Source organism: Homo sapiens, chromosome X (assembly GCF_000001405.40).
Source record: "Homo sapiens chromosome X, GRCh38.p14 Primary Assembly".
Lineage (NCBI taxonomy): Eukaryota > Metazoa > Chordata > Mammalia > Primates > Hominidae > Homo > Homo sapiens.
This window is the reverse complement of record NC_000023.11, coordinates 124,346,563-124,374,506: the sequence shown is the minus strand read 5'-3', so window position 1 is coordinate 124,374,506 and position 27,944 is coordinate 124,346,563. Positions and strand designations below refer to the sequence as shown.

The following is a 27,944-nucleotide window of genomic DNA, read 5'->3' as shown; positions in this document are numbered from 1 at the left end:
CAAATCTGCACATTCAGCGCATGCATCCCAGAACTTAAAGTAAAATAAAAATTAAAAAATAAATAAATAAAATGTTTAAATGGCCCACCAGGTGACTAAAAAAAGAAAAAGAAAAAAAAATCAGTTCTTATGCATTCCTGCTTTTACTCTCTCTGTCCAATACTGAATGTGATACGTAGTATAGCCTTTTGTCATCTTGTGAGAAAACAGTTCTATTTCTGCGTGTATGTGTGCAACCAAGATGTATATATATATCTCAATTCCATATATGTTAATGGACTCTATCCAGTTAGTCAGCCTTATTATATCTTGCTACATTAAAAAAAAAATCTTCATTTAAGAACTAAATGACCTAATGATAAGAATTCAGCCTTTTACTACAAGTTTGGCCAATCACCCCAAATTAGGAAAATGTCCAAACTGGGTAGTTTAACTTCCCCCCTAGTTGCAAACTACAAAATAGTGGTATCCCATTTACTGCAAGAGAAAACATAGGTGTCAAAGTTGAATGTATAGCATCCTAACAGGAAGACCAGGCATCCTATAACCTTGAAATGCTCAAGGGCAAATCTGGGTTTTACTAGTAGTAGACTTTGGATTCTAAGCTTAACGAAGTGAATCAAATAAAACATAAGCTGATGTTGAAACATTATTAACAGAGTTTAAAGCTGTTTCTCACATTTTTAATTCTGTGTCCATTCTACCCGAAAGAATATCTTAAATCCAGCCCTTTATTTATAGCAGAGGACTTAATCAGAGGCATTCTCTATAGACTTATTCTACCTGTGCACTACCACAAAGGTTCCCTGCCTGTAACAGCCAAACAGACAATTACCTAAGCTTGTCTCCCTACTGACCTTATCTCTTAAGAACAAATTTCAGAGGAAATGAATAAGTATTTGATAAGCTGTCATGTTCCTTTTGGGCTTGCTGACACACTTTTTTTTTTTCTGAAGAGAGCTGCACACTTGGAAATATATTGTGCATTTTTCTACCTTGACTCAGCATCTTACAATATGTTAGCATGGCAATATTTTAGATACAGCAAGGATATGACCTTTCTGTAAAGGTGCAAGTGATTACGTACTGGAAAATAGCAAGGATGCTCATGTTGGGAAAGAAAAGGTGAAAAAAAAAAAAAAAAACTTGATGAATAAAAGGCCAGCCAAAGAAGACAGGAAGTAGGCTCATCAACCGGGAACTTGGACAGCAATAAAATCAGAAAAGCACTTACCTTTTCCAGGGAATCACTCCGATAAGATAATCATCAATCCTTTATTTGGTTTATTAATAGCATCAGTCTCTGAATATTTTATAAGGAATTATAAGGAATATTTCAAGACAAATTAGGTAAATAAAGCTTTCAAACACTTTATTTAAATGTGAAAGACTTGATGATTCAAAAAAAGCTTTTTTTCAAAAAAAGGCTCTTGGAAGTGAACATGCAAACATAATTCATATGTTTAGGATTATTCCAGAATGAACACATTATAGAGTTAAAATTAGTTACGCCTATTACAATTTAAACTCAAGCCATATAATTAAAAATTATTAAACCTATGCAACTTATTATGAAAGTAGGATTTTTAAATTCCTTTACAAGTTCATGTGATGCTTTTACCTCAAGAAATGGTAAACCACCCATAATGCATTACTCAGGCCACACTCCACTTTTGTACTCCCACGGCATCCATATTAAATGCTCAGAAATCAGGTCTTGCCAGTACATGGAGAATAGCTCTGTCTCTCAGCAGTTCACTAATTAAAACCAAGTTCACCAACACCCATACACAATCCAGAATTCCCAGTTATTATTTTACAGTGAAGCTTAGCCTTTTCATATGGCCCATGGACCAGAGTATTTGCACTGACCTATCTATCTGCCTCTAAAGACCAGATCTACCTACACACGGGGAACCTCGCTTATCATGTACTTATCAACTTTCATTGTTATTTTTTCCTTGTCTTTTATTGTTATTTTCTTTCACTGTCTTTTATCGTTATTTTCTTTCACTGTCTTTTATCGTTATTGTTTTCTCGTCCAACAAGACAGTGAACTGAGAGCAGGGACCAGGTGTTTTTACTTCTATGCCCTCAGCGCCCTATTATGTTTGTTGAGTGAATGAATTCTGTGAGCCCTGTAGCAAAGTGACATATAATCAATCACAAAATCACAAAAATATAAATGTGAGAAGAAAATGCCGCATAAAATTCTGTATCTCGTGTAGGTTTCAATCACTTGGAATTTTTTTAAAAAATAATACAACCATAAACTTTCCAGTGGTTTTGTAGGGTTACTTTAAAAGGAGGCTTGTTACAAATCAGTTACTCATGAGCTGCAGCTGCTGAAATTTCCCTTCAAAATGAGGTCTTCCATGTAGTAGAAACAACTGGGGCAGAGGTAAATGAAAAGAAAAACTCATTTCATTGGATTTGTAATACAATTTCAAATCCTGTAGCATCAAATACGATAAACATGTTTAGAGCATATTTTAAATTATAAGATTTTCAACTCCAGGTTGGTCTGTGGATTTTACTGTCCAATATCAGAACACTAGGCAAGAAGGTTGCTTTCAGAATTAAACATAAATCCTTCACTCTTTGTTTAGTGCTTGTTTTAGCACACAGTATACAGCTTCAAAAATCCCAAAAGAGCCTATGACACCATAGCTAGTGGAGAACTTGGCAAAGACAAGGGACACCAGCCAACTTCCCACCATACAATCAAGCAAGACATTTTAAAATTAGTAGCTATAAAATAATATTTCACTAAAAATGGAGCTTTTCACAAAAACTGAGGATTATTTTTATTTATATTTGGCAAGAATTGACATTAATCCTTTATAAAGTATTCATTATCCTTTTGTTTCCCATTTGTAAATATAATAACTGAAAATAACCTACGGAATTACTTTTTCCCAATCCTCGTTTCAAAGCTCCTCACTATGTACAAAAGTCCATTTCAGCTTTGACGACATGCTAGATGCTTCCATTACAGGACTACAATGGCTTTAGAAATGCATTTGTAGCTCACCGAACTGTATTATCTACAATATATAAGACTTAGCATATATTTAAATTATAGAAAATAAAGTACAAGGTGTTTTATTTTTCTTCATGGGGCTTTCAGGCAGACATCAGGATCTTCTCTTATCCCTAAAGAAAAATAACAAAAATCAAGAAAAAATAAACTTACAAACTATTAAAATTACAGATTAACTCAAACTTATAAAATTTCCAACTGCATAAAACTCACAATGACACAACACAGTAATATACCTCAAGCAACTATTATTTAAAACTGAGTTATAAAGAATGGAATATTAGGCAGAAAAAAACAACTAGCCAACTTGGAAATTAGAGCTCTATTTGCATTTGTATTATAAAGGCTAACTATTCATTAATTTAATTCACCACTTGAGTCTAATTGTCAGTTTATGCCTGAGCCTAGGTCCCTGTCAAAAAGGGACTCGTTTTCTTTTATCATAAATATTTATTGTTTCAATCAAGGCCTATCCTCTTACTCCAAACAAATGATAAACCCCATTCAATAGAGGAGTAAACAGTCACGTATCAGATAGCTACAGACATTGGCTGGTATTCAGTCTTTAGCACGACACATACACTAAAATAGGTTTGCTCAGGATATGTAACAATATGTGCCAGTGGAACAATAAAGTGCACTATTTAATTTCCTTTGCTTCAGAAAAATGTCATTAATTCAAGCACCACCAATTCAGAAATCAGAATCATGTGTGCCAGGCTAACGTTAGCTTTCATGTCCCTGAAGGAAAAAACAGTTTACTAAGCAAAGATAAAGGACAGCCCAGGTGTTCTCTGAATTATACCATCTTTCACATTATTTGTGTCTGAATTAGTGAAGTGAAATCATACTTAGCTACCTATTAAAGGGACAGGAAAGAACAAGATGAGACAGACAAGAGCAGTTAAAATGTTATGGGCTTATAGAATTTTTGATGTTTTTACAGAGATTTATTAAAAGTTATTAGAATAATAGATGAAAATTATAGCACATAAATTGTCACCTCTCATTTGACTTGCTGGCTACATCTACTTTCTCACTGCATTTTTCTTACATAACTTCTAATTGATTATATGGTTATGAACAGGTTGACTCATAACTCTGAGCTTCCAAACCCTGTCAAAAATTAAGAGGAAATCATACCTGTAGTACCTTGTGTACTTCTAGCTGAGGACTTCTTCTCAACTGGATACTGCAGAGGTATTACAATGCCTTGATCTGGCTTCTGAAATGCTGAAATGAGATTTTTTATTTTCCGGAAATATCTTTTATGTACCCCAGGTGCTGTCTGGAAAATAAAAGGCCAAGCAAATTATTTACCTATCTCATAATGATACAAAAAGACCTACAAAATGTGCTAGGGATGCTAAGAGAAGTAACATTTGTGTAACTTGTTGAAATATTTGAAAACATAAGGAAGAAGGAAAAACAACATTCCAGAAGAGCTTACTTTGGTTGGCTGAATTTCCCTGCAAGAGGAGCTAATGAGCTGTCATTTCAGTTCTCCCAAAGGTGGTATTAGTTTGTACAAGCTCTTGCTCATTGCCCTGCCCTTCCTGCCTGCTCCCCATCAGACATCTCAAACCTCTAAGGGTATACAGGCCATTACCCACAATGAATTCACCAACAGAGGGGATGCAGTTAAACAGGAAAAAACAAAAACAAAAACAAAAAAACAGATCCTACAGGTCATTAATAAAAAGCCTGAGGAACAACAACAAAAGAAAAACCAACAACCCATCCTCCCTGCCATCATCCCACAATATAAAATGCTACACAGGAAATTAAAAATTGGCTGTTATGATGCACACAGTGCACGGCTAGTTCAGTCCTCATACTCTTTCACCTCACAATATTTCCTGCGCCATTCTTCACATTAAATTTTTTCCTCCTTGGGAAACTTCCCTATACTCCCAAAATTGTTCTCTCCATCAGCACGTCACTGTAACAAGGTTTTCTCTATGACATGAAAATGAAAGACTATATAAGGTCACCTTTATTTATTTATTTGTGTGTTTTTAAAGAGACAGTTATTTGCAGGTGACTATTAAAATGTGTTCCTTTCCTGACATCAGTTGTCTTGCAAAGACACTGCCTGAAATCAACAACAATTTCCTGCAAAAGCTTATGAGCCAAGCTTCAGGCATCAGCTCAAACCTGTCATTTTACGTAAAATAAAATAGTATTGCTATGAGCAATTGAACAATGACTAGTTTTTTTTTTAAGTTGTTTTTCAGCTATTCCATCTGGTAGATTTTTGAGGTGGGAGCTGTTTGTTTTTTTAGCATTTAATGAGAAAACATGAAGGCGAGCATGAAGACTTCTGTCAGCTAGATAGTGGTATGCTGAAGATAGCATACTACACTATCCATAGTAACTCTCAGTCATTTCCTTATGTTGGGGTAATTTTTCATTGAAAACATGACAAAAATTCTTTTTAGCTCTATATTAGTGTTCCCCCATATGTTCACAGTAGATGTAGAACACTCTCTCACCCAGCTCCACCCCACTCTCTCACCTACCCTCCACCTTCCTAAAGCTCGATTGAGAACTCATCCAAAATAACATGGCCATTCTTGCAGAAGTCCAAACAGTTCGTTGGTTCCAAGATAGAGTCTCCAAATTGCAAATGCAGGTCATAGGCACAAATTGCCTCCTTATACTTTCCTCAGTGCACTTTTTCATTTTCAAAGCACATTCCTATCTCTTGCCTTCACTATTTCCTCACAAAATGGCAGTTATTGGCTGATTCAGTTATTCCCATTTGACAGATAAGAAAATATGAATGCAAAGAAATTAATCAGCTTGCCCAAAGTCACACAGACAACCAGAGGCAGAACTGGCTCAGAATCCCAGGACCCAGTCTCTTGCCTTTCAGATTAGAACTGGGCCAAACAGGATCTAGCGAAGCTAGGGTCATCAAACAGAAGAAAAACTATACACACCTAAAGTGTGGAAAGATTTCAAACCACACATCTTTTTAGCTTCTTGTGGCTTGTAAAGTCATTTATCAACAGAAGCATAGCCGGGCACAGTGGCTCACACCTGTAATCCCAGCATTTTGGGAGGCTGAGACCGGCGGACCACCTGAAGTCAGGAGTTCAAGACCAGCCTGGGCAACATGGTGAAAGCCTGGCTTTACTAAAAATATGAAAATTAGCCAGGTGTGGTGGCAATCCCGGCTACTTGGGAAGCTGAGGCACAGGACTCACTTGAACCTGGGAGGCAGAGGTTACAGTGAGCCGAGATCGGGCCATTCCACCACTCCAGCCTGAGCGACAGAGTGAGACTCTGTCTCAAAACAAAACAAAACAGAGAAGCAACATTTTTATGGGTACTGATATGTAGCTAACACTTGATTATCCATGCTAACAGAAATGAATAATAGCACTGGAAGTATGGAAGCTATTTGAATTGGGGATCTGATGTTTCATAAGCAAATGACTGGCCTATTTTACAGTGTTTTACTTAGATTAATAAGGACAATTATTTAACATCTGCTGATCTCCTGATCATATACCCAGTAAAGCCTGAAGACACTGATGTCAACAGGGTGATGTCAGTACATTTTTAATAATGTATTGCCAACAAATCACATATTAATAAATGAAAGTAGATTGTGGAATTATCTAAATTAACAATGTAACAAACTTTTAGTCTGAGTCATATAAGATAATACACTAGGCAAAGATTTAACCTAAAAGTCTCTCTAAAACTAGAAAAACACATGATATCTGTCTTTCATAATTCAGTGGGGCCAGGGTTTGATTTCATTACACTCTTTAAAACAAATCTCACTTACCTAGATTTCTAGCATAATATATGCACAGATGGTGGCATGCTACTGCCTTGATTTTTCCTGCAGCATGGCAAACTAAAACATTGTTCCAAAAATCAGTATTAATATCTATCATTTACCCAGTTTCGAAAATACATTTATCACAAGAATTGTACCACTGACAACTCTCATCCTGTCACTGAACTCAGCTATTCTTCAAATTTGCAAATCTCCCATACTGTCACCTCTTAGTTATCCATGGAAACATGTATTAGATCACAGCTGGTCTTCAATATGCTCTAGAGAAATTTTTTCCAGTCAGGTGGTATGAGCTCTGAGAATATACACTAGTTTAATTTTCACCTTAGAAAAGCACTGCTAAGAAGGTAAATTTAGTAGATAGAAAAAAATGCAATATGCATTTCAAAAATTAAAGAATTTTTTAAACTATTTTCTATTTGCGGATGTCATGCCAATCTTCTGCTCTCTTGGTGCAGAAAATTACAATATTATTACATAAACAACGTCAGATCAGACAACAGGATGAGGGGGCATTTGTGTTCAATAAGCCCTCTCTTCTTTAACATGATCACAAGCATGTAACAATCTCATATGATGTTATACTCAAAATGCAGGAAAACAAGTTGAAAAACAAAGTTGTTAAACCCTAAGCATTTAAGATCCTTTCCTTACATAATATTCTTCAGCAGCTGAAGGGTATTTCTCTGGGGAGAAGAGCTATTTCTGGCGAAATAATATACAAACGTGTGTGTGTGTGTGTGTGTGTGTGTGTGTGTGTGTGTGTGTGTTTGTCAGTATATTTTACACATAACTTTCTTCATAATAAAGTTTAATTTCTTATTCAATCATCTCTGCAGTGATACAGAGAATTTTTTAAATAAACAGGTATAAATAGTTTCAATTAGAAATGGTATAACTTTATCTTTAGTTAGTATTATAGTTTTAATGATCCTTACATAATACAGCAAAAGTGTGTTTGAAAACTTGGCCTAATTCATCTCAGTGGTTCAAAACATTTGTGGTCTGTAATTTATACTTTCCAACTTACTGATAAATCAGTAAACGTGAGAGCTATTTTAACTTCTTGAAGTCTAGACTTCAGAAAATTTTAAATGCACAGATTGAGTTATTAATAGGAGTTGTGGCAATTTTCAGGAGTTCACTTTTTTGAGGGCTCACTGTGTGCCAGGCCTTGTGGCAAACAGCTTCTTTATGTGTGTTATCTTATTTACTTTTCAAATTGAGCCTTGTGCATAAGGGAGGATTCTTAGGCTCCGTTTACAAATGAAGAAACTGGCTCACAGAAAAGTCAAGTAACCTGCCCAAGATCATAGACCTATCAGAGAGGAGGGGAGACCAGACCTGGAACCCAGATTCACCTGTTGACAAAGCCTAGTTTCTTCCACTCATAACTGTTTAATTTCAAGTTATAACTTCCCAAGTATATTGTAGTCTCTTAGAAAATAAGCATCATGTTTTTTAATCTCCCACGATACCAATACTCATATTGGTATCATTTGGTAAATAATTGTTCATTTAATTATTTTACCTACTTTTGATATGCTAAGATTTCACATAGTCACTAAAAGTTTGACATAATTCTTCAACTTTTTTATCTTTCTCCCAAAGTCATACAACTCTGCAAAATGATGGCTAAACAGGACTGGGACCAAAATTCTCTAAAGCTTTCTTAATGATCCATGAACAATTTTGGATTGGAGCTTTAGAGATTTAAACCTTATGAATACTTAATAATGTATAATTTGCTCTTTTATAAAACCAGCCTAAATTTCAAATACCTCCTTGACACCCCCAGAAGCAAAAATAAATACAACTATACCTCAGCACTCCAAGAACCTGTTTCTGTCTGGGACACTCGGTATGTATAAATGTAACCGTGATACCTGTGAAAGAATAAACTTCCATTACTGAAAGATTCCAAAAGAACAATGGATACTTTAAATTTGAGCTTAATATTACATATAAATGTCACATATACTAGGACACACGTATATGGTGTCATTGCATTCATAGGAAGTAAAGCATAGTGAATCTAACTTGTCTCCATATTGTATCTGCCCAACCACAGTTTCCAGTGAGATTTCTTTATCTTTTCATTTTTTGAAATATGGAAATTCATGCTCCTAAAGATTTGTCAAGTTGAGAGACCATTTGGACAGAAAGAAACTACAACAGGGACCTGTTGTAATTGATAAAACCATGAATTATTAGATAGTTTTAACAAACAATAGACTTATTTTTAAGTACATATCGAAACTTAAGGTGAAAACATTTCACTGGGATAATACACTATCAGGCCCACATAAATAATTATTAATATTAATAATATTTGTTATAAATATAATGGCAATAGTATAAGGATATAATACTATAAATTGAATATAACTATATTTTTATAAAATTACTATTATAATGTATAGCAATATAATATTGCCACAGTCATGCATCACTTACCAAGGGGGATACATTATGAGAAGTGCATCATTAGGTGATTTCGTTGTTGTGCAAACATCATAGACTGTACTTACACAAACCTATATGGTATACCACCTAGGCTATGTGGTATAGCCTATTACTCCAGGCTACAAACCTGTACAGCATGTTACTGTACAGAATACTGTATGCAATTGTAACATAATGGTATTTGTGTATCTAAACCTATCTAAACATAGAAAAGGCACAGTAAAATATAGTATAAAAGATAAAGAATGCTATACCTGTTGAGAGTACTTACCATGAATGGAGCTTGCAGGACTGGAAATTGCTCTGGGTGAGTCAATGAGTGAGTGGTGAGTGAATGTGAAGGCCTAGGACATTACACTACTAGAATGTTATGAACACTGTAAACTTAGGCTACACTAAATTTATTTTAAAATATTTATATTTCCCAGATCACGAGGTCAGGAGATCGAGACCATCCTGGTTAACACAACGAAACCCCATCTCTACTAAAAATACAAAAACTTAGCCAGGCATGGTGGCACGCACCTGTAGTCCCAGCTACTTGGGAGGCTGAGGCACTGAGGCAGGAGAATCGCTTGAACTCAGGAGGCGGAGGTTGCAGTGAGACGAGATCACGCCACTGCACTCCAGCCTGGGTGACGGAGCGAGATTGTCTCAAAAAAAAAAAACTGTATCGCTTCAATAATAAATTAATCTTAGCTTCAACTCTTTTACTTTATAAACTTGTAAATTTTTTTAAACTTTTTGACTCTTTTATAACACTTCGCTTAAAACACAAACACATTGTACAGCTGTACAAAACTGTTTTTCTTTATATCCTTATTCCATAAGCTTTTCTCTGTTTCAAAATTTTTATTTTATGTATTCTTTGCTATTTAAACTTTTTTGTTAAAAACTAAAACACAAATACGCACATTAGCCTAGGCCTACAGAGAGGGTCAGGATCATCAGTATCACTGTCTTCCACCTCCACATCTTATCCCACTGCAGGATCTTCAGGTGCAGTCACACACACGGAGCTGTCATCTCCTATGATATTCATATTCCAGAATGCCTTCTGGAATACCTCCTGAGGGACCTGCCCGAGGCTGTTTTACAGCTAACTTTTTTTTATATAAGTAGGAGTAGATTTTAAAATAATGATAAAATGTATAGTACAGTAAATACATAAACCAGTAACACAGTAATTTGTTATCATTATCAAGTATTGTGTACTGTATGTAATTGTCTGTGCTATACATTTTTTTCTTTTTCTTTTTCTTTCTTTTTTTTTTTTTTTTTTTTTTTTTTGAGATAGAGTCTCGCTCTGTTGCCCAGGCTGGAGTGCAGTGGTGCAATCTCAGCTCACTGCAACCTCCGCCTCCCGGGTTCAAGCAATTCTGTTTCAGCCTCCCGAGTAGCTGAGGCTACAGGTGCATGCCACCATGGCTGGCTAATTTTTGTATTTTTAGTAGAGACAGAATTTCACCATATTGGTCAGGCTGGTCTTGAACTCCTGACCTCAGGTGATCCACCCACCTCAGCCTCCCACAGTGCTGGGATTATAGGTGCGAGCCATCACACCTGGCCTGTGCTATACTATTATACAGCTGACAGCACAGTCGGTTTGTTTATACCAGTGTCATCACAAATACATAAGTAATTCATTGTGCTGTGGCATTACAATGGCTACAACATCAGTAGGTGGTAGGAATTTTTCAGCTCCATTATAATCTTATGGGACCACCATTGTATATGCTGTTCGTCGTTAAGGAAAATGTTGCTATATTGCACATGACTGTATTACTATATTACCCTATAATATATTATAAATGAAGTAATAGTAAAAAATATATGAATTAAAAACAAGTGCTGCTTGTTTTAAATTATACTTTTGTGGAAGAGCAACTCTAAAATTCTGTAAACTAGGACTATCTCCAAAGTGCCTTAGTTGTAACTTTATTTTCCTAAAAGCAGCTTATCCTTTTAAATGGGGTAAACATTCCTTCCCATTACTCAGTTTATATCTATATTGTATATTTGTCTAATTGATTTCTACTACATGCCAAGAGTTTTACTTGCTGTATTAGTCTGCTTGGCTGCCATAACAAAATACCATACCTTGAATGGCATAAATAAAAGAAATTTACTTTCTCACAGTTCTGGAGGCTGGAAAGTCCAAGATCGAGGTGCCAGCAACATAAGTTTCATTTTGAGCCCTCTTCTCTTGCCTTGTGAGTAGCTGACCTCTTGCTGTGTACTCAGACAGCCTTTTCTGTTGTAATAAGGCCCCCAATCCTATCAGATTGGAGCCCCACACTTATGATTATCCTATCAGATTAGAGCCCCACCCTTATGATTTAACTCATTTAACCTTAATTACCCCCTATCTCCAATTACAGTCATGTTGGAAGTTAGAGCTTAAACATATTATGGGGGAACACAATTCAGTCTATATCATTCCACTCTCGACCCCCAAAACTCATGTCCTTCTCACACTTATACCATCCCAACGGCCTCAAAAGAAATTAACTCATTCTAGCATCAACTTAAAATCTAAAGTCCAAAGTCTCATCTAAATAAAATTAGATGTGGGTGAGACTAGCAGTATTATTCATCTTGAGGCAAAATTTATTTTCAGCTGTGAAACTATGAAACCAGACAAGCTATGTGCTTCCAAAATATAATGGTGCTACAGGAAGAGGATAGACATTCCCATTCCAAAAGGGAGAAATTGGAAGAAATAAAGGGGTCACAGGTCCCAAGCAAGTCCAAAACCTAGCAAGGCAAACTCCATTAGCTCTTAAGGCTCAAGAATAATCCTCTTCGATTCAATATTCTGCCCTTCAGGTTCACTGGAAAAGCAGCATCACCCCCACAGCTCTGTAAGGTGGCCACATCCTTTGGCTAGGGTGATGGCCCCACCTATGTGGCTCTGTTGGATGTCAGTCTCACTTTTTGAAACCAAGGTAGAGGCAGCCTTACCCTCCAGGCCTGTGCACTTTGGGCCTATAGTAGGAATGGCAGCCCTGGTTATCTCTGAATCACCCTCAGGGTCGTTCTTCCCTTTTCTTGAAAGATAAACCATGTTTGCAGCCAAATAACTATACCATACTGTCCTGTTCTCTTTGGTCCAAACTGGTAATATTTCTGCTGCTTTTTTCCAAACTCTATTCCTGACTTCTGCTCAGATGGCTGGTTAACATCATAAGTAATCTTAAGTAGTGACAGATAGTCCAGCCACACCCTTAGTGTTGTCTCCAGAACAAGCTTCCTCATTTATTGCAATACATAAAGGCTCAGAATTTTCCAAATGTTTAAGTTCCAGTTCCCTTTTGCTTAACAATTCCTTCTTCAATTCATCTCTCTCCTTTTGTATTTTACCATAAGCAGTCAGGAGGGACTGAGCCACTCCTTCAACTTTTTGCTCAGAAATCTCCTCAGATAAAAAGTCAATTTTTTTACTCAACAAATTCCACCTTCCACAAAATACTAGAACACAGTTCAGTCAAGTTCTTTACCATTTATAACAAGGAACACCTTTCTCCCATTTTGCAGTAACATGTTGCTGATTTCCATCTGAGACCTCATCAGAATAACCTGCAACATCCATAGTTCTACCAACATTCTGTTCACAGCCGTCTATGCTTTTTTCTAGCATACACCTTAAAACTCCTCCAGCCTCTACTCATTACCTAGTTCTAAGGCCACTTCCACATTTTTAGGTATTTGTTACAGCAATACTCCTCCTCTCAGTACCAAAATCTGTATTGGTCTGTTCAGGCTGCCATAACAAGATACCATAGACAGGGTGGCTTAAACAACAGAAATTTATTTCTCACAATTCTGGAGACTGGGAAGTCCAAGATCAAGGTGCTGGTAAGGTATGTTTCATTCTGAAGCCTCTTCTCTTGGCTTGTAGACAGCCGCCTTCTTGCTGTGTGCTCATATGACCTCTTCTTTGTACATGCATTCTTCCTCTTCTCATAAGGTCACCAAATTTATCAGATTACAGCCCCATCCTTATGATCTCATTTATCATTAATTACCTCCTAGAGGTCCTATCTCCAAATACAAGCATATTGGAGGTAAGGGTTTAAACGTGTGAATTTAGGAGGATAAAAAGTTAAGTTTCTAGCACATGCATTATCTCCTTTGGACCCCACAAAAATCCTATTAGGTTTATGTTGTAATATTTATTTTATAGATGGGGAAACTGAGACTTTGAGATGTTAAGTAACCAAAATCAGTCTAGAGATTAAGAAGCAAAAATGGGATTTGAATCAGGCCCATTTGATTCTAGATCCCCAGTTCCTGATCCCCACACTGTACTGGATATAGATTATTTGTTATATTTTAGTATATATAGTAATCCTACTTAATTTGCCTAATAAAATTTTACCTCATAAAACAGTAAGGTAAACTTTATAATGAATTGTTTCAGTTTTTGAATGTGAATCAAAATCAATTGTGAATCAATTGAATGTGAATCTAAATCATTCATTTCATAAATTTTCTGATTGCTATTCTTGGGCACAAGTTTGGGTCAATAGAGATCTTTTGGTTAGGACACATGCTTTTTTTTTTTTTTTTTTTTTTTTAATGGTGTCTTGCTCTGTCACCCAGGCTGGAGTACAGTAGGGTGATCATAGCTTACTGCAGCCTTGCCCTCCTGCCTTAGCCTCCTGAGTAGCTGCCACTACAGTTGCACACTGCTGTGCCTAGCTAATTTTTTTTTTTTTTTTTTTTTTTTTTTAGTTTTTGCAGAGACAGGGTCTTGCTCTGTTGACCACGACGGTCTTGAACTCCTGGCCTCAAGCTATCCTCCCACCTAGGCCTCCCAAAGTAGTAGGATTACAGGTGTGAGCCACCACACCTAGCCAGGACATGCACTGAACTCTGGTTAAAATCAATGTGTTTACAAGCAGAGTGTCATGCTTGACTTGATGATCACATTTACCATTAACCTCCTTTGGAAATAAAAGTATTTAAATATGTGAATTAAATTAGGCTCACGCCTGTAATCCCAGCACTTTGGGTGGCTGAGGTGGGCAGATCACCTGAGGTCAGGAGTTCGAGACTAGCCTGGCCAACATGGTGAAACCCCATTTCTACTAAAAATACAAAAATTAGCCTAGCGTGGTGGTGGGCACCTGTAATCCCAGCTACTCGGGAGGCTGGAGCAGGAGAATCACTTGAACCTAGGAGGTAGAGGTTACGGTGCGCTGAGATCGCACCATTGCACTCCAGCCTGGGCGACAAGAGTGAGACTCCATCTAAAAAAAAAAATTACTATATCTTTCATCAATATGCATCAGAACTGATTACCTAAAGGGCCAAAACAAATCTGAAACACACTATTCAGATTTACTTGATTCGTGACACTGAACAAAAGGTCAATTTAACTACTGATGTGGATTATATGATGTTTTATTTTTTACGAAGGATTGCCAGAATATTTAGATCATATATAAAATAGCTTGATATATGCCTATATATAATATGCTGAATAAATATACAATATTACAATGTTAAAGTCTTTTGTCTTTTTAAACACTTGAAATCTACCTCAAAGCCCACTAACTTCAGCAAGTACTCTATGGGGAACAAGGCAAGAGCTTTGATTTCCATTTTTCACCATGGGAACTCAACATAAGCCTTTAAGTGATTTTCTTAAAGCCACATAGCAAAATGGAGATGGAAGCAGTGAAACAGCATAGGTTCTTAGTTCCATTTTCCCTATGAGAAATGATTAATGGCAATAATTCAGTATCATAAGGGTGATGTGGAGATTCATTATTTAAAATCTCAGCAACAAGATAAGCAGAATGGTAAGCAACAAGTTTTCCACTTTCTAAAACAGTGGGTCTCTAAAAAATACAATGACTCTATCTCCCTACTATCATTCAGACGCATTTAGTCAAAGTAAATGAGTCTGTTTTGAGAATTGTTTCCTAACGAATCTGATCTTATCTCACTTTCAGTTAAGTAGCAGGAACCTGAGTACCACTTCAAAACTTCGTACCTCCTTCAGTCTCTGAACAACCTGGTGTGAATGGTACATAAAACTTCTCATGATTAACTCATCTAATATTAACAATTTCCTTCTCCCCACAACCCCTCCAATTTCTGAATGAGCAAAATTGTTTCACCCCTCAAATAGGCCAGCAGTTTATATCTTTCACTTTCAAGTTACTGAAGTAACTGACCAAGGATCCCCTGTAGTCAACTCTTACTATAATATGTCATACAAGGAAGAGATCTAAAACAGTGCAACTCAAATTGCATTCCCAGGACAACAGCATCAACATCACCTGGGAGCTTGTTAGAAATGTAGACTTCCAGGCCCCACCCAGACCTGTTAAATCAGAATCTGGATTTTAGTAAGATGCCCAGGTGATTTGTATGAACATTAAAGTTACAGAAGGACTGATTAAAATGTAAAGCGAATGCCCACATCTCATTGGGAATATTGATGGCAACTTCCCTGTTGTCAACCTGGCTTCTTCCACCTGCCCAGGGCAGTTCTGTGCCACCTCCTCCGTAGTCATTCAGTCTATGCTTTAAGAATGCAATTTTATTTTAGTATAAGCTGAAGGTTTGTCAATCATTTCAGTCTTCACAGGACAGTGTTTCTGAACCATTTTTTCCTTTCTTCCCCAATAATATTTCTTAGTTTTATTTTCTATAGCTTCTATTATAAACCAGTAATTTTGTAACATAAAATTAAACTAAAATATTGAATATGCCTTTTCAAACAAAACATACTCTGTCCCTGTCCATGGAAAATCGCTATTCAAACTGGCAAGTTATATAACGAGACCTATAAAACCATACATATTTTTGACTGCATAACCTTGCTTATCTTCATACACTCCAAGGAAACAAGTCAAGAGGAAAACGCAATTTGACAAAGATTTTCATACTAGCCCTATTTTAATAGTGAAAAAAATGGAACTAACCTAAGCACCCCTAAATAAGGAATAATTGCTCAAAATAAGGGAATTGTTTTTGGGTATAACCCCAAAAGCACAGACATCAAAAGCAGAAATAGATAAATGGGATTACAACAAACTAAAAAGCTTCTGAACAGCAAAGGAAACAACAGAGTGAAGAGACAACCTACAGAATGGGAGAATATATTTGCAAACCATACATATGATAAGGAGTTAATATCCAAAATATATAAGAGACTCAAATTACTCAATAGAAAGAAAACAAATAATCCCATTTAAAAATGGGCAAAGGCAGCTACTCGGGAGTCTGAGGCAGGAGAATGGCATGAACCTGGGAGGTGGAGTTTGCAGCGAGCCAAGATCGCGCCACTGCACTCCAGCCTGGGCGACAGACCGAGACACCATTGCAAAAAAAATAAAATAAAATAAAAATGGGCAAAGGACCAGAATAGACATTTCTCAAAAGAAAATATACAAATGACCAACAGGTATGTGAAAAAATGCTCAACCTCACTAATCATCAGAAAAATGCAAATGAAACCACAATGAGATATCATTTCACACCTGTTAGGATGGTTATTATCAAAAACAAGACAACAAGAGAGGATGCAGAGAGAAGGGAACCCTTGCACACTGTTGGTGGGAATATAAATTAGTACAGCCATTATAAAAAACGGTATGAAAGTTCTTCAAAAAATTAAAGATAGAACCACCATATGATCCAGCAATCCCACTGCTGGGTATATATCAAAAGGAAATGAAATCATCATGTCAAGGAGAAATCTGCACTTTCATGTATATTGCAGCATTATTCACAATAGCCAAGACATAATGCAATCAACCTACATGTCTATCAACAGATGAATGGATAAAGAAAATATGTTGTATATACACAATGGAATACTATTCAGCCTTAAACACAAAGGAAATCTTGTCATTTGCAACAACATGGATGAATATGGAGGACAGTTTGTAAAGTGAAATAAGCTATGCGCAGAGAAACAAATACCGCGTAGTTTCAGTTATACATGGGATCTTAAAAAGTTGAACTAATACAAGCCAAGAGTAGAATGGTGGGTGGCTACCAGGGGCTCGTAGGGGCGTGCAGGGTGGGGATTGGGAAATTTGGGTCAAAGGATAAAAGATTTAGGTTAGGAGGAAAAAGTTCAAGAGATCTATTGTACAACGTGGCAACTATAGTTAAAAACAATGTATTGTATTCTTGAAAGTTGCTAAGAGAGTAGATTTTAAGTGTTCTCATCACAAAATGTAAGTATGTGAGGTAATGCATATGCTAATTATCCCAATTTAGCTATTACACATGTATACATATTTCAAAGCATCATGTCATACACAATACATATATACAATTTTGCCAGTTTAGAAATAAATATATAAATTAGGGAAAAATAAAGGAATTATAGCAGAAACAATGGTTCAAAATTACACTTTCTATGTCAAAGGTGAAGGTTTACAATGTTAATGCTGGCTGGGCACGATGGCTCACGCCTGTAATCCCAGCACTCTGGGAGGCTGAAGTGGGTGGATCACAAGGTCAGGAGTTCGAGACCAGCCTGGCCAACATGGTGAAACCCTGTCTCTACTAAAAATACAAAACAAACAAACAAAAAACTGCTGGGTGTGGTGGCACGCACCTGTAATCCCAGCCACACAGGAGGCTGAGGCAGGAGAATCGCTTGAGCCTGGAAGGCAGGGGTTGCAGTGAGCTGAGATCACACCACTGCACTCCAGGCTGGGCGACAGAGAGAGACTCCGTCTCAAAAAATATAAATAAATAAATAAACAAATAAAATCTTATGCCAAAATTCAAAAATGTTAGAGTCTTAGGTTTTCCAGAAAACTTTAAGTATGTGGACTATGTTGACATAAAATGATAGCATGTGTAATAGCAAAGACTTGGAACCAACCCAAATGTCCATCAATGATAGACTGGATTAAGAAAATGTGGCACATATACACCATGGAATACTATGCAGCCATAAAAAAGGATGAGTTCATGTCCTTTGTAGGGACATGGATGAAGCTGGAAACGATCATTCTCAGCAAACTATCGCAAGGACAGAAAACCAAACACTGCATGTTCTCACTCATAGGTGGGAATTGAACAATTAGAACACTTGGACACAGGAAGGGGAACATCACACACTGGGGCCTGTCCTGGGGTGGGGGGAGGGATAGCATTAGGAGATATACCTAATGTAAATGATGAGTTAATGGGTGCAGCACACCAACATGGCACATGTATACATATGTAACAAACCTGCACGTTGTGCACATGTACCCTAGAACTTAAAGTATTAAAAAAAACACACACAAAACAAAAAATAAAAATAAAAAAATAAAATGACAGTATGTGTAAAAAGTGGGCACAAGGGGATGCCACTCTGATTACAACTATTCAAAACTGTCTGTCCCTGTGTGTATATAAACTAGAAGTAAATTTAAACTAACGTAAATGCATTCTTGCATGTTATTTTTTCATGTAGTTATTTAAGTGACTAATTTTTTAAGAAAAACAAGCAGAATTACAATTTGGAGCCTTACAAACCTAGCCTAAGCAAATCACAACTCATAAAAATGTAATTCATTTTTTTAAATTGTTACATCCCCTTCAGGATTATATTTCCTCTGACTCCCTCCCTTAATACAGACAAACCAGCAATGTAGTGTACTTTTAACTTCCTTCCCTCATTAAAGCTTTTTTGGACTTTTTGATAATCCTAGAGTTTAAAATGTATCACCAAAAAAATCAGAACATGAATAATTGTTAAAGAACGGTGGAGTTTTATCATTGCCTTTAATTTATTTTAATTACTATAAAGCATGTGTTAATCTAGTCTCTGCTGATATTGAAATTTGTCTTTATTTCATCAAAAGTTGTCCCTAACTGTAAAAAAGTGTCCAGGTTAGAAATGGACAAGAAGCAAGAAGCAACCAACCTGACTTATTTCTTATTTTCTCAGTGGGTCAGTGTTGGGGACAGATCCTGGTTTAGAACTGACAAATCCACATCAATTCCTTTTTTATACCACGTCAAGTACTACACAAAAGAAAACATTTAGCTACATCTGACTTCTTCATGACATTTCAAATAAAGCAAGCCAGTACCTATGCCCTCTACGTCTATACGAACTAATGCTACATACAAAATTCAAGACACAACTATAATGATTTTTAACAAACGTTTCAGAACTTTTATATCCAGAGGAATAGTATCCTACACAAAGCCATTATTTTTGAGACTATACTCTGATTCAAGAGCTTTCCAAACTTACAATGGCCCAAACTTTATTCTTTCAGAGAGAATTTTAATTTTTGAAACAGTTGAAAGTCATTCAACTTCAAGTGTGATGGTAAAACTATGTGATATTTTGATGAGTCATGAAAATAAATATAACCACTTCTTCCCCTGAACTTCCATATCAAGTTTTATTTACGTATACTTATGATGTTCTAACTTTGTATTACAATTATTTATAGAGCTTTTATTCATATTAAAAAACACATATTACATGTTAACTTTACAAATATTAACTCATGTCATAATCATCATAACAACCCTGTGAGGTAAGTACTCTCATTATCACCATCTGCCGTTTTACAGGTAAGAAACCTGAGACACAGAAAGTTAAAGTAACCTGCCCAAGGGAAAATAGCTAGTTAAGGGTCAGAGCTGGGATGCACACCCAGAGATCTGGCTGGAAGATCTGGGCTCTTAACCACCATTCTGTGCTGCCCCTCTCTTATACTAGAGGGAATGTATTAACAAATTGGTCTTTAAGACAATTCCAAAAGCACAATTCTCAAAAAGGGAGGGAATCTGCTTGGACATGGAGCTAGAACTGTCCACTGAGAGAAGGAGGGCAGTGGAGGGAGCTGAAGGGAAGAGGCCAGGTGGGGAGAGCCCGAAAGAGATCAACCCAGACTCCCCCTTTGCTTAAGCTAAATGACATCTTCAGGCTAATCTTGCAACTTTAATTTTACATTGTCAACCAGAGTCAGTACTTGGCTTATTTGCCGTGAATTATCCATTCGGTGGTTTATATGTGGCAAACAATCCTAGGCTGGCTTTCAGGCTCACTTTACCACTGGATTGTATTCAGGAAATTGAAAATAATGTTGGTGGCCTAAGTTATCATGAAGATAAATGTGGCACCAAGGCACATATCCAATTGAATTCAAAAACTAAATGCAAGTTGTAATTTCTCACTAAATGAAGTTAAGTTATAATTTCAAGTTCTTTGCCACACTGTTCCCCTTTATTGCAACTGATAAACTGGAATTTTATTTCATCACTGCTCCTCCCCCATTTCTCCAGTTCAGTTGTTTGACAGGCACTTTATTCCCAGTTGTCCCTTTAAAACTTAAAGGACAAAAAGATAATTATGCATTTATCTAAAGACATACATGTCAAATGACTTCATTATGTGTCCTTGAAGCTAAAGAATTATAACAGCATTTCTTCTTCCAAATCTTCCATCAGATAAGTAGCAAACAAAGGCAGATATGTCCAGAAGGATGCCAACTATGGAAATAAACTATTTTTTGAGCTAATTATTTTAAATATTTTAAATTAGTTCTCGTCTTATCACCATCAATCCCACTGGGCAGTCAGAACTTTCCCAATGGCTGTCTACATTGAGGGTGAGAAGGGAAGAAATGTGAGAGAACATATGTACCTCAGTGAAAAGAAACTTGATGTATCTAAAAAAAACAAAGGGAATAAACTTAAAAAAAAAACTATCTGCATTAATAAGAGCATTCAGTACACTGGATAAATACAAGAACAGAACATAAAATCAGTAGCTTTCCTATGAAACAGAAAATATAGTGGAAACAGATCCCATTTATGATTTTTAAAAATCAGCATACACATTCATACACACAATAACTCGAAATAACAAAAAATGTATAAGACATACAAAAAGAAAACTATAAAACTTGATTGATGGATATAAACAAAAAAATTATAAATGGAGAGACTTATGTTATGGGAAGGGAAGACTAAATTATTTAAAGATGACAATTCATTCTTAGTTTATTAATAAATTTAATGTAACCCCAATGGTGTTTTCAAAAAAATTTTTGATACATAATAATTGTACATATTCATGGGGTACAGTGTGATGTTTCAACACATGTATGCATTGTAATAATCAAATCAGGGGATTTGAATATTTAGGATATTTATCACCTCAAACATTTATCATTTCTATATGTAAGAACATTTCAAGTACTCTCTTCTAGCTATTTCAAAATACATAAGATATTGTTAACTATAGTCACCGTACTGTGCGACTGAACACTAGAACCTATTTCTTCTATCTAACTGTCTGTTTGTACCCATTAGCCAACCTCTCTTCATCGCCTTCCACCCTTCCCAACCTCTGGTAACTATCATTTTACTCTCTATCTCCATATGATTGAGGAATCCCACTACAGGGTATCTATCAAAAGGAAAGGAAATCAATATATCAAAGGGATACTTGCGCCCATACATTTATCACAGTACTATTTACAGTAGCCAAGATATAGAAGAGTCCAGCAACAGATGAATGGATAAAGAAAATGTGCTATGCATATACAATTGAATACTATCTGGCCATTAAAAAGAATGAAATCCTGTTATTTGCAGAAATGTAAATAGAACTGGAAGTCATTATGTGAAGTGAAATAAGCCAGGCACAGAAAGACAAATATCATGTGTTCTCACTGGCATGTGAGAGCTAAAACATTTGGTCCAATGAATTTTTTTTAACTTAATAAAATGATTCTAGATTTCATTTTGAAGAACCAACAGATAAGAATAGCAAATAATTTTTAAAATATATTAAAACATTATCATACTATAGTGCTATCAGTGCAAGAATAAATGGATCAATTGAGACAAATAGATAGTCCAGAAACAGTAACTGTTATATATAAGAATTTAATATATGGTAAAGTCGGCTAGCAAATCAATGAAGAATGGAAGTTGTATTTATAAATTATATTAGGACAATTGCTAGCTATCTGGAAACAAAATCAAATTAGATCTTTTATCCACATCAAAATACAACTCCAAATGGAATTAAAGAGGTAAATGTAAACTAACAAAACCGTAATTTAAAACAAAAACTGCAGTGAAGTTTTATGACATATCTCAAGGGGAAAGGACTTTCTAGCCAAGGAAGAAATCAAACACAAAGAAAACGAGTGACGTATTTGACTACTAAAAAGTTTGATTTTTGTATGTGTCAAAAAAAGTAAGGGCAAACACCAAACTTAGAAAACATACCTTGCAACAGATCAAGGATTAGTATATATATAAATTTACAATGTGTTAAAAAAGTTTGATTTTTGTATGTGTCAAAAAAGTAAGGGCAAACACCAAACTTCGAAAGGATACCTTGCAATAGATCAAGGATTAGTGCACATATATATATATACACATAGAGTGTGTTTAAAAAAAGTATGATTCAACTGGTTAAATGAGAAAAATACACAAAAAGCCAAATCATGGGAGGAAATACAACAGCTTAACAACCATATAAAATGACAGTCACTAACCAAAGGAATATAAAATGTGGAAAATAAAGAGATAGAGTGTAAATATAAAATAAAGAATAACAGGCCAAATGTCAAGGGAAAATTTTCTTAACTACAATACCCACTTCTAGTGAGGGTGTGGTGAAATGGACACTGATGCATTACAGGTGAGCATGTAAATTGGAATAACCATTTAGGGAAAATATCTCATGATCATGTATATATCAAGAATCCTAAGCTGTTTATGTTTTCTGACCTAGAAATTCCACACTGGAAATTCATTCTAAGGAAATAATCATAAATGCAAGGAAACTTTAATGTACTGAAATATACATCCTGATGGAATTTATAATAACAAAAATATGGAATGAGTCAAATGTCTAAAAGTAGGTGACTGGCTAAGCAAAATATGGTATACTTACTAGCTAGCTGGACTACCATGCAGCCATTAAAAATAACATCTTAAAGTTGTCTCTAAGAACATTACATATGAGTGTATTTTTTTCATATTAAGTGGGAAATGGGAAACGTATACAATTGTAAGAATACAAGAACACAATCATATTTTTAACACATGTAAATTTATATATAAATATATATAAATATATATTTATAATAATATATATAAAAATATATATTTATAATAATATATATAAAATATATATATTTATAATAATATATAAAAATATACATATTTATAATATATATATAATATATTATATCTTATATACAATATATAATATATTATATCTTATATACAATATATAATATATCTTATATACAATATATAATATATTATATCTTATATACAATATATAATATATTATATCTTATATACAATATATAATATATTATATCTTATATACAATATATAATATATTATATCTTATATACAATATATAATATATTATATCTTATATACAATATATAATATATTATATCTTATATACAATATATAATATATTATATCTTATATACAATATATAATATATTATCTTATATACAATATATAATATATTATATCTTATATACAATATATAATATATTATATCTTATATACAATATATAATATATTATCTTATATACAATATATAATATATTCTATATTATACTATATAATATAGTATATAATATACTATATATAATATAGTATATATTATATATTATATATAGTATATAATATATATTTATATATTATATATAGTATATAATATATATTTATATATTATATATAGTATATAATATATATTTATATATTATATATAGTATATAATATATATTTATATATTATATATAGTATATAATATATATTTATATATTATATATTATATAATATTATATATAATATATATTTATATATTATATATTATATAATATTATATATAATATATATTTATATATTATATATTATATAATATTATATATAATATATATTTATATATTATATATTATATAATATTATATAATATATATTTATATATTATATATTTTATATTATATATTTATATATTATATATATTAGATATTTATATATATATAAATATATAACATTTGGTGTTTGCCCTTACTTTTTTTGACGCATACAAAAATCAAACTTTTTAGTAGTCAAATACGTCACTCGTAAGAATACAATTGTAAGAGCACACGTGCTCAAAAAGCAATTCATCTTATTAAAATATAGAAGAAAATTCACCTAATTTTTAGCAATAGTCATCTTTAGGTTATAAAACTATAGATGATTTTTCTCTAATTTCTATTATCTATATGTTTCAAATTTTCTATAATGAATAGGTATAAGGAACTATTTTTAATAGACTTATACAAAAATCTATATTTATTTAGAGAAAGTAATTGAAAGAAATACTTATTACTTAAAATGAAGGTGAGCAATCCTATAAATGGAAAACTCCTTTAGTGCTTTATGAAGCAGTTCAATTTTCGATTTTCTAAATCAGAACAGAAGAAAAGGCCATATCTGAAAGCCATGATTAGGAGGTTCAGAACTGGGGAAAAGGGCAAGCATCGTTTGAAAGTACAGTTTAAAGTACAGTTTGAAGGCATATGAAATGTATTATCTCTACAATAAAAATATAAAAACTATAGCTCAATTAAATCTTCTTGGTTAATAGGAGTAAACAAAAGATAGAATGAGAAACCATTCTGAGTAAACCCTACAATCAATGCATGTTTGTCAGCTATACCTTGTTGTCCATGTGTATATGATACCACTTATATTGTTATTTCGACTGCATATCATAAGTGTTCTGGTTTAAAATGAGTACGTGGTTTATTTCTAAATAAAATCTGATTTTATAATTACAGTGTAGCACCAAAAAGAGGGAATGAAATTTTTACATTTATCAAAAGGGACACTCAACTCAAAAACATTGAGAAACTGATAAAAGGCAATGTATCCTCATATCTTCCCTCTGCAGCACATTCTGGCTATCACCCTAACAGTCACATAAGACTTTGAGGCCCCAGTGTACCATTTGAAAGACACCGTAAGGGAACTCCCAATTTGTCTAGTATTTTCCGCTACTTCACAAGGAGGTTTTCATGGAGAACTAAGAGTCATAAAAACTGCATTTATGCAAGATTCACTTTGGGCGAAAACTTAAATGCTTGATAATTTCTCACCTGCCTAAGTTAATTCCTCATGTGGTTCCGGCCTACATAGGCAAAAGTCTAAAGCTGCCCTTCTCTCTTGCATAAGGTACTTAAGGCAATCTTTTGCAGAAGGTAGGATACACATTACTATTCCTGTTTTATAAATATGGAAACTGAGTCCCAGAGAATTTGAGTGACTTTCCCAGAGTCCATACCCTAACCTCTCAATGGCCATTCCGTTTATTGCAGTAAAGAACAGAATTTGCCTTGACAGTTTGTTAATTCAAAAATATCTGCTGAGTGCCTATTATGTGTTCCTGTGTTTCTGGTGATGGAGACAGTATCTCCGCCCTCATGGAGATTATATTTTTGCAGGACAGCCCAGCAATAAGTAGGTAAACAAGCAAATTATCAGATAGTTTAAAGCTCTTTGAAGAAAAATAAAGAGATGGAGTGAGTGTATCAGGGACAGGGAGAGGGCACTTGTTCTAGATAGGTGGTCAAGCAAGTCCTCTCTGAGGGAGGAGACAGTTGAACAAACATGTGAACTGAAGGTATTTTGGGCAGAAGGAACAATAAGCGCAGAAATCCTAAGTGGGGGCATTTTTGAGGAGCTTGAGAAACGGCCAGGAGCCCCGTGAGGCTGAAGCCTTAGGTATATCTTGCCTCTCACTATACCCTGTTGTCCCTCCCCTGCCCAGACTTGTTTTGTACATTCTTTTTCACCTTTGGGTTAAGGAGCATGTTATCTCCTTTGTCAGCTTCCCTAAAGCAGCGCCTTTCACCCACCCACTCACTCCACCTTCTTTCAATGAGAAAAGAGCCTAAGAATCCTAGCTGGTTTTCATTGCCCTTCCCTAGGTTCCACACGGGAACAATAATTATATAAGCAAAACATAAAGATTCAAGCCCAAGACATTCAATAGCTTCCACGTATTTCCCTTGAAGCCTTTGTGAAAAATGTATTTAGCATGACCTGAGAGCTGCCACAAACAAGGCTTGACCGTTTTTAAAAAACAATATACAGTGAAAAATCTTCTAGCACCAGCATCAGGATAATCTTTCTTCACTGACCCATAAGGTATTTCAAACTCTTGTGGGGTATTATCAGATGCTGAACTTACTACCAAGCATTTAACCTCATTTGGTTTCTGTCTAGAACCTACAATGCAGGGCTGCTGTTTTCATGGATTTTTTTTTTTATCCTGCTGACAATAATGCCTGAGCTAGGTCCTTCCTTAGAAATGCCCCCATGATTCCTAAAAGAAATCAACTGAAAAGAGAAGATAAAATAATAATATATCTTTGGTATAATAATAATACCAATAGCTTACATTTATTGAACATTTACTAGGTGTCAGGCCCCAGTGCTAATTTTTTTACTGCATTATGGCACTTAATCTTACAATCCTATGAGGTAGGCAGTAATATGATACCTATTCAATGGATAAGAAAACTGGGGAACTGAGAGGTTAATTTGCCCAAGTCACAAACCTAACATCTGACGAGCACAGGACAAAGTCTCAGATCTGCCTGACTCCGGAGCCCTGGAGCAAAGACGCAGATGAATTTGATTCAAAATGAAGCCTTAGAATGAGACATGCCTAGGCAAATGGCAAAGCTGAATCATAACAAGGGTGTTTTCCCTCCATTCCCTTTAAGACTATTGTGAGTCCTAACGTTTATCAAGAAGGGTCCTATTTCTGAAATCCCCTGCCCCTCCCCACCCCCCACTACTTTTCTAAAGGATGCTACATCAGCAGATCCAGAGAGGTGATTTTACTGACACACATCCCCCTCCTCTCTCAGCATCTCGACCTAACTGGCATTGCATTCTTAAAGTAATTGACTCTGTTTCTTAATGTGCCTCCTCTCTCTGAATGTCATGCTCTTCCTTTGGGATGACACTTCAAAAGTCGTTTAAAGAGAGCTAGAGTAAGGCTCGCAGGGCGCCACCCGATAGGGGTCAAAATGGAAGTGGGGAGCCTGGGTCTTTCCCGGAGCGAAGGTAAACTGTGGACCACATTTCACCACCCGAAATGGCATTCTCTGCAGCTGCCCCAAAAGGCTCTGGTGAGGGCCTTCTGGAGAGCAGGAGGCCCAGGGAATGAAATCCCCAGCGAGGGATTGAGGCGAAAGTGTGTTCCACCACGGCCCTGGGCTGGACTTGAGGGTGGGCCACGGAGGAGGCGTCGGCGAGCTGCTAACGCCGGCGCCCCTGCCTGCCTCGGCCTCCACCCTGGCCCCAGCTGCTGTTGCCCACCGCCCACACCCTCAGCAGGCCCATGTCCACCGTATCATACTCACAGCACACATAGGCAGTACACGCCTGGCACGCTCTCGCTGTCCCTCAGCAAATAGCTGCCATCCAGCCCAGTGGCAAGCAGGAGCTTCTCGCCGGTTTCCCTGCTGATTTTGCCATGATACACAGCCACTGCGTCCATGGCCTGGTGGACTCTTGGGCAGGCCGAGGAGGAGAACTGTGCAAGGGAGATGCCGCTGCTACTGCAGCCAGGCACAAGTC

The 27,944-nt window shown here is 35.5% G+C and overlaps 1 protein-coding gene across 2 annotated transcripts; it reads right to left on the bottom strand.

Moving 5' to 3' along the window:
- On the bottom strand, positions 1,347 to 27,944 carry SH2D1A (SH2 domain containing 1A). Of its 2 annotated transcripts, none has more exons than NM_002351.5 (4): positions 27,728 to 27,944; positions 8,683 to 8,746; positions 4,187 to 4,331; positions 1,347 to 3,156 (listed from the first exon to the last, which is right to left on the bottom strand). In NM_002351.5, exons 1-4 carry the CDS (start codon positions 27,862 to 27,864, stop codon positions 3,116 to 3,118), a joined length of 387 nt encoding a protein of 128 aa, NP_002342.1. In that variant the 5' UTR covers positions 27,865 to 27,944; the 3' UTR covers positions 1,347 to 3,115. The 2 variants fall into 2 exon arrangements, with proteins under 2 accessions (NP_002342.1, NP_001108409.1); NM_001114937.3 differs by having other exon boundaries at positions 4,196 to 4,331.

What these genes read in the sequence shown, in the direction of transcription:
- SH2D1A (NM_002351.5), bottom strand. Translation starts at nt 27,864, where the DNA reads ATGGACGCAGTGGCTGTGTATCATGGCAAAATCAGCAGGGAAACCGGC. An exon ending in GTGTACTGCCTATGTGTGCT is followed by an intron (nt 8,747 to 27,727) that starts GTGAGTATGATA and finishes ATTCTTTCACAG; the next exon opens with GTATCACGGTTACATTTATA. An exon ending in CAGGTTCTTGGAGTGCTGAG is followed by an intron (nt 4,332 to 8,682) that starts GTATAGTTGTAT and finishes TTTATTTTCCAG; the next exon opens with ACAGCACCTGGGGTACATAA.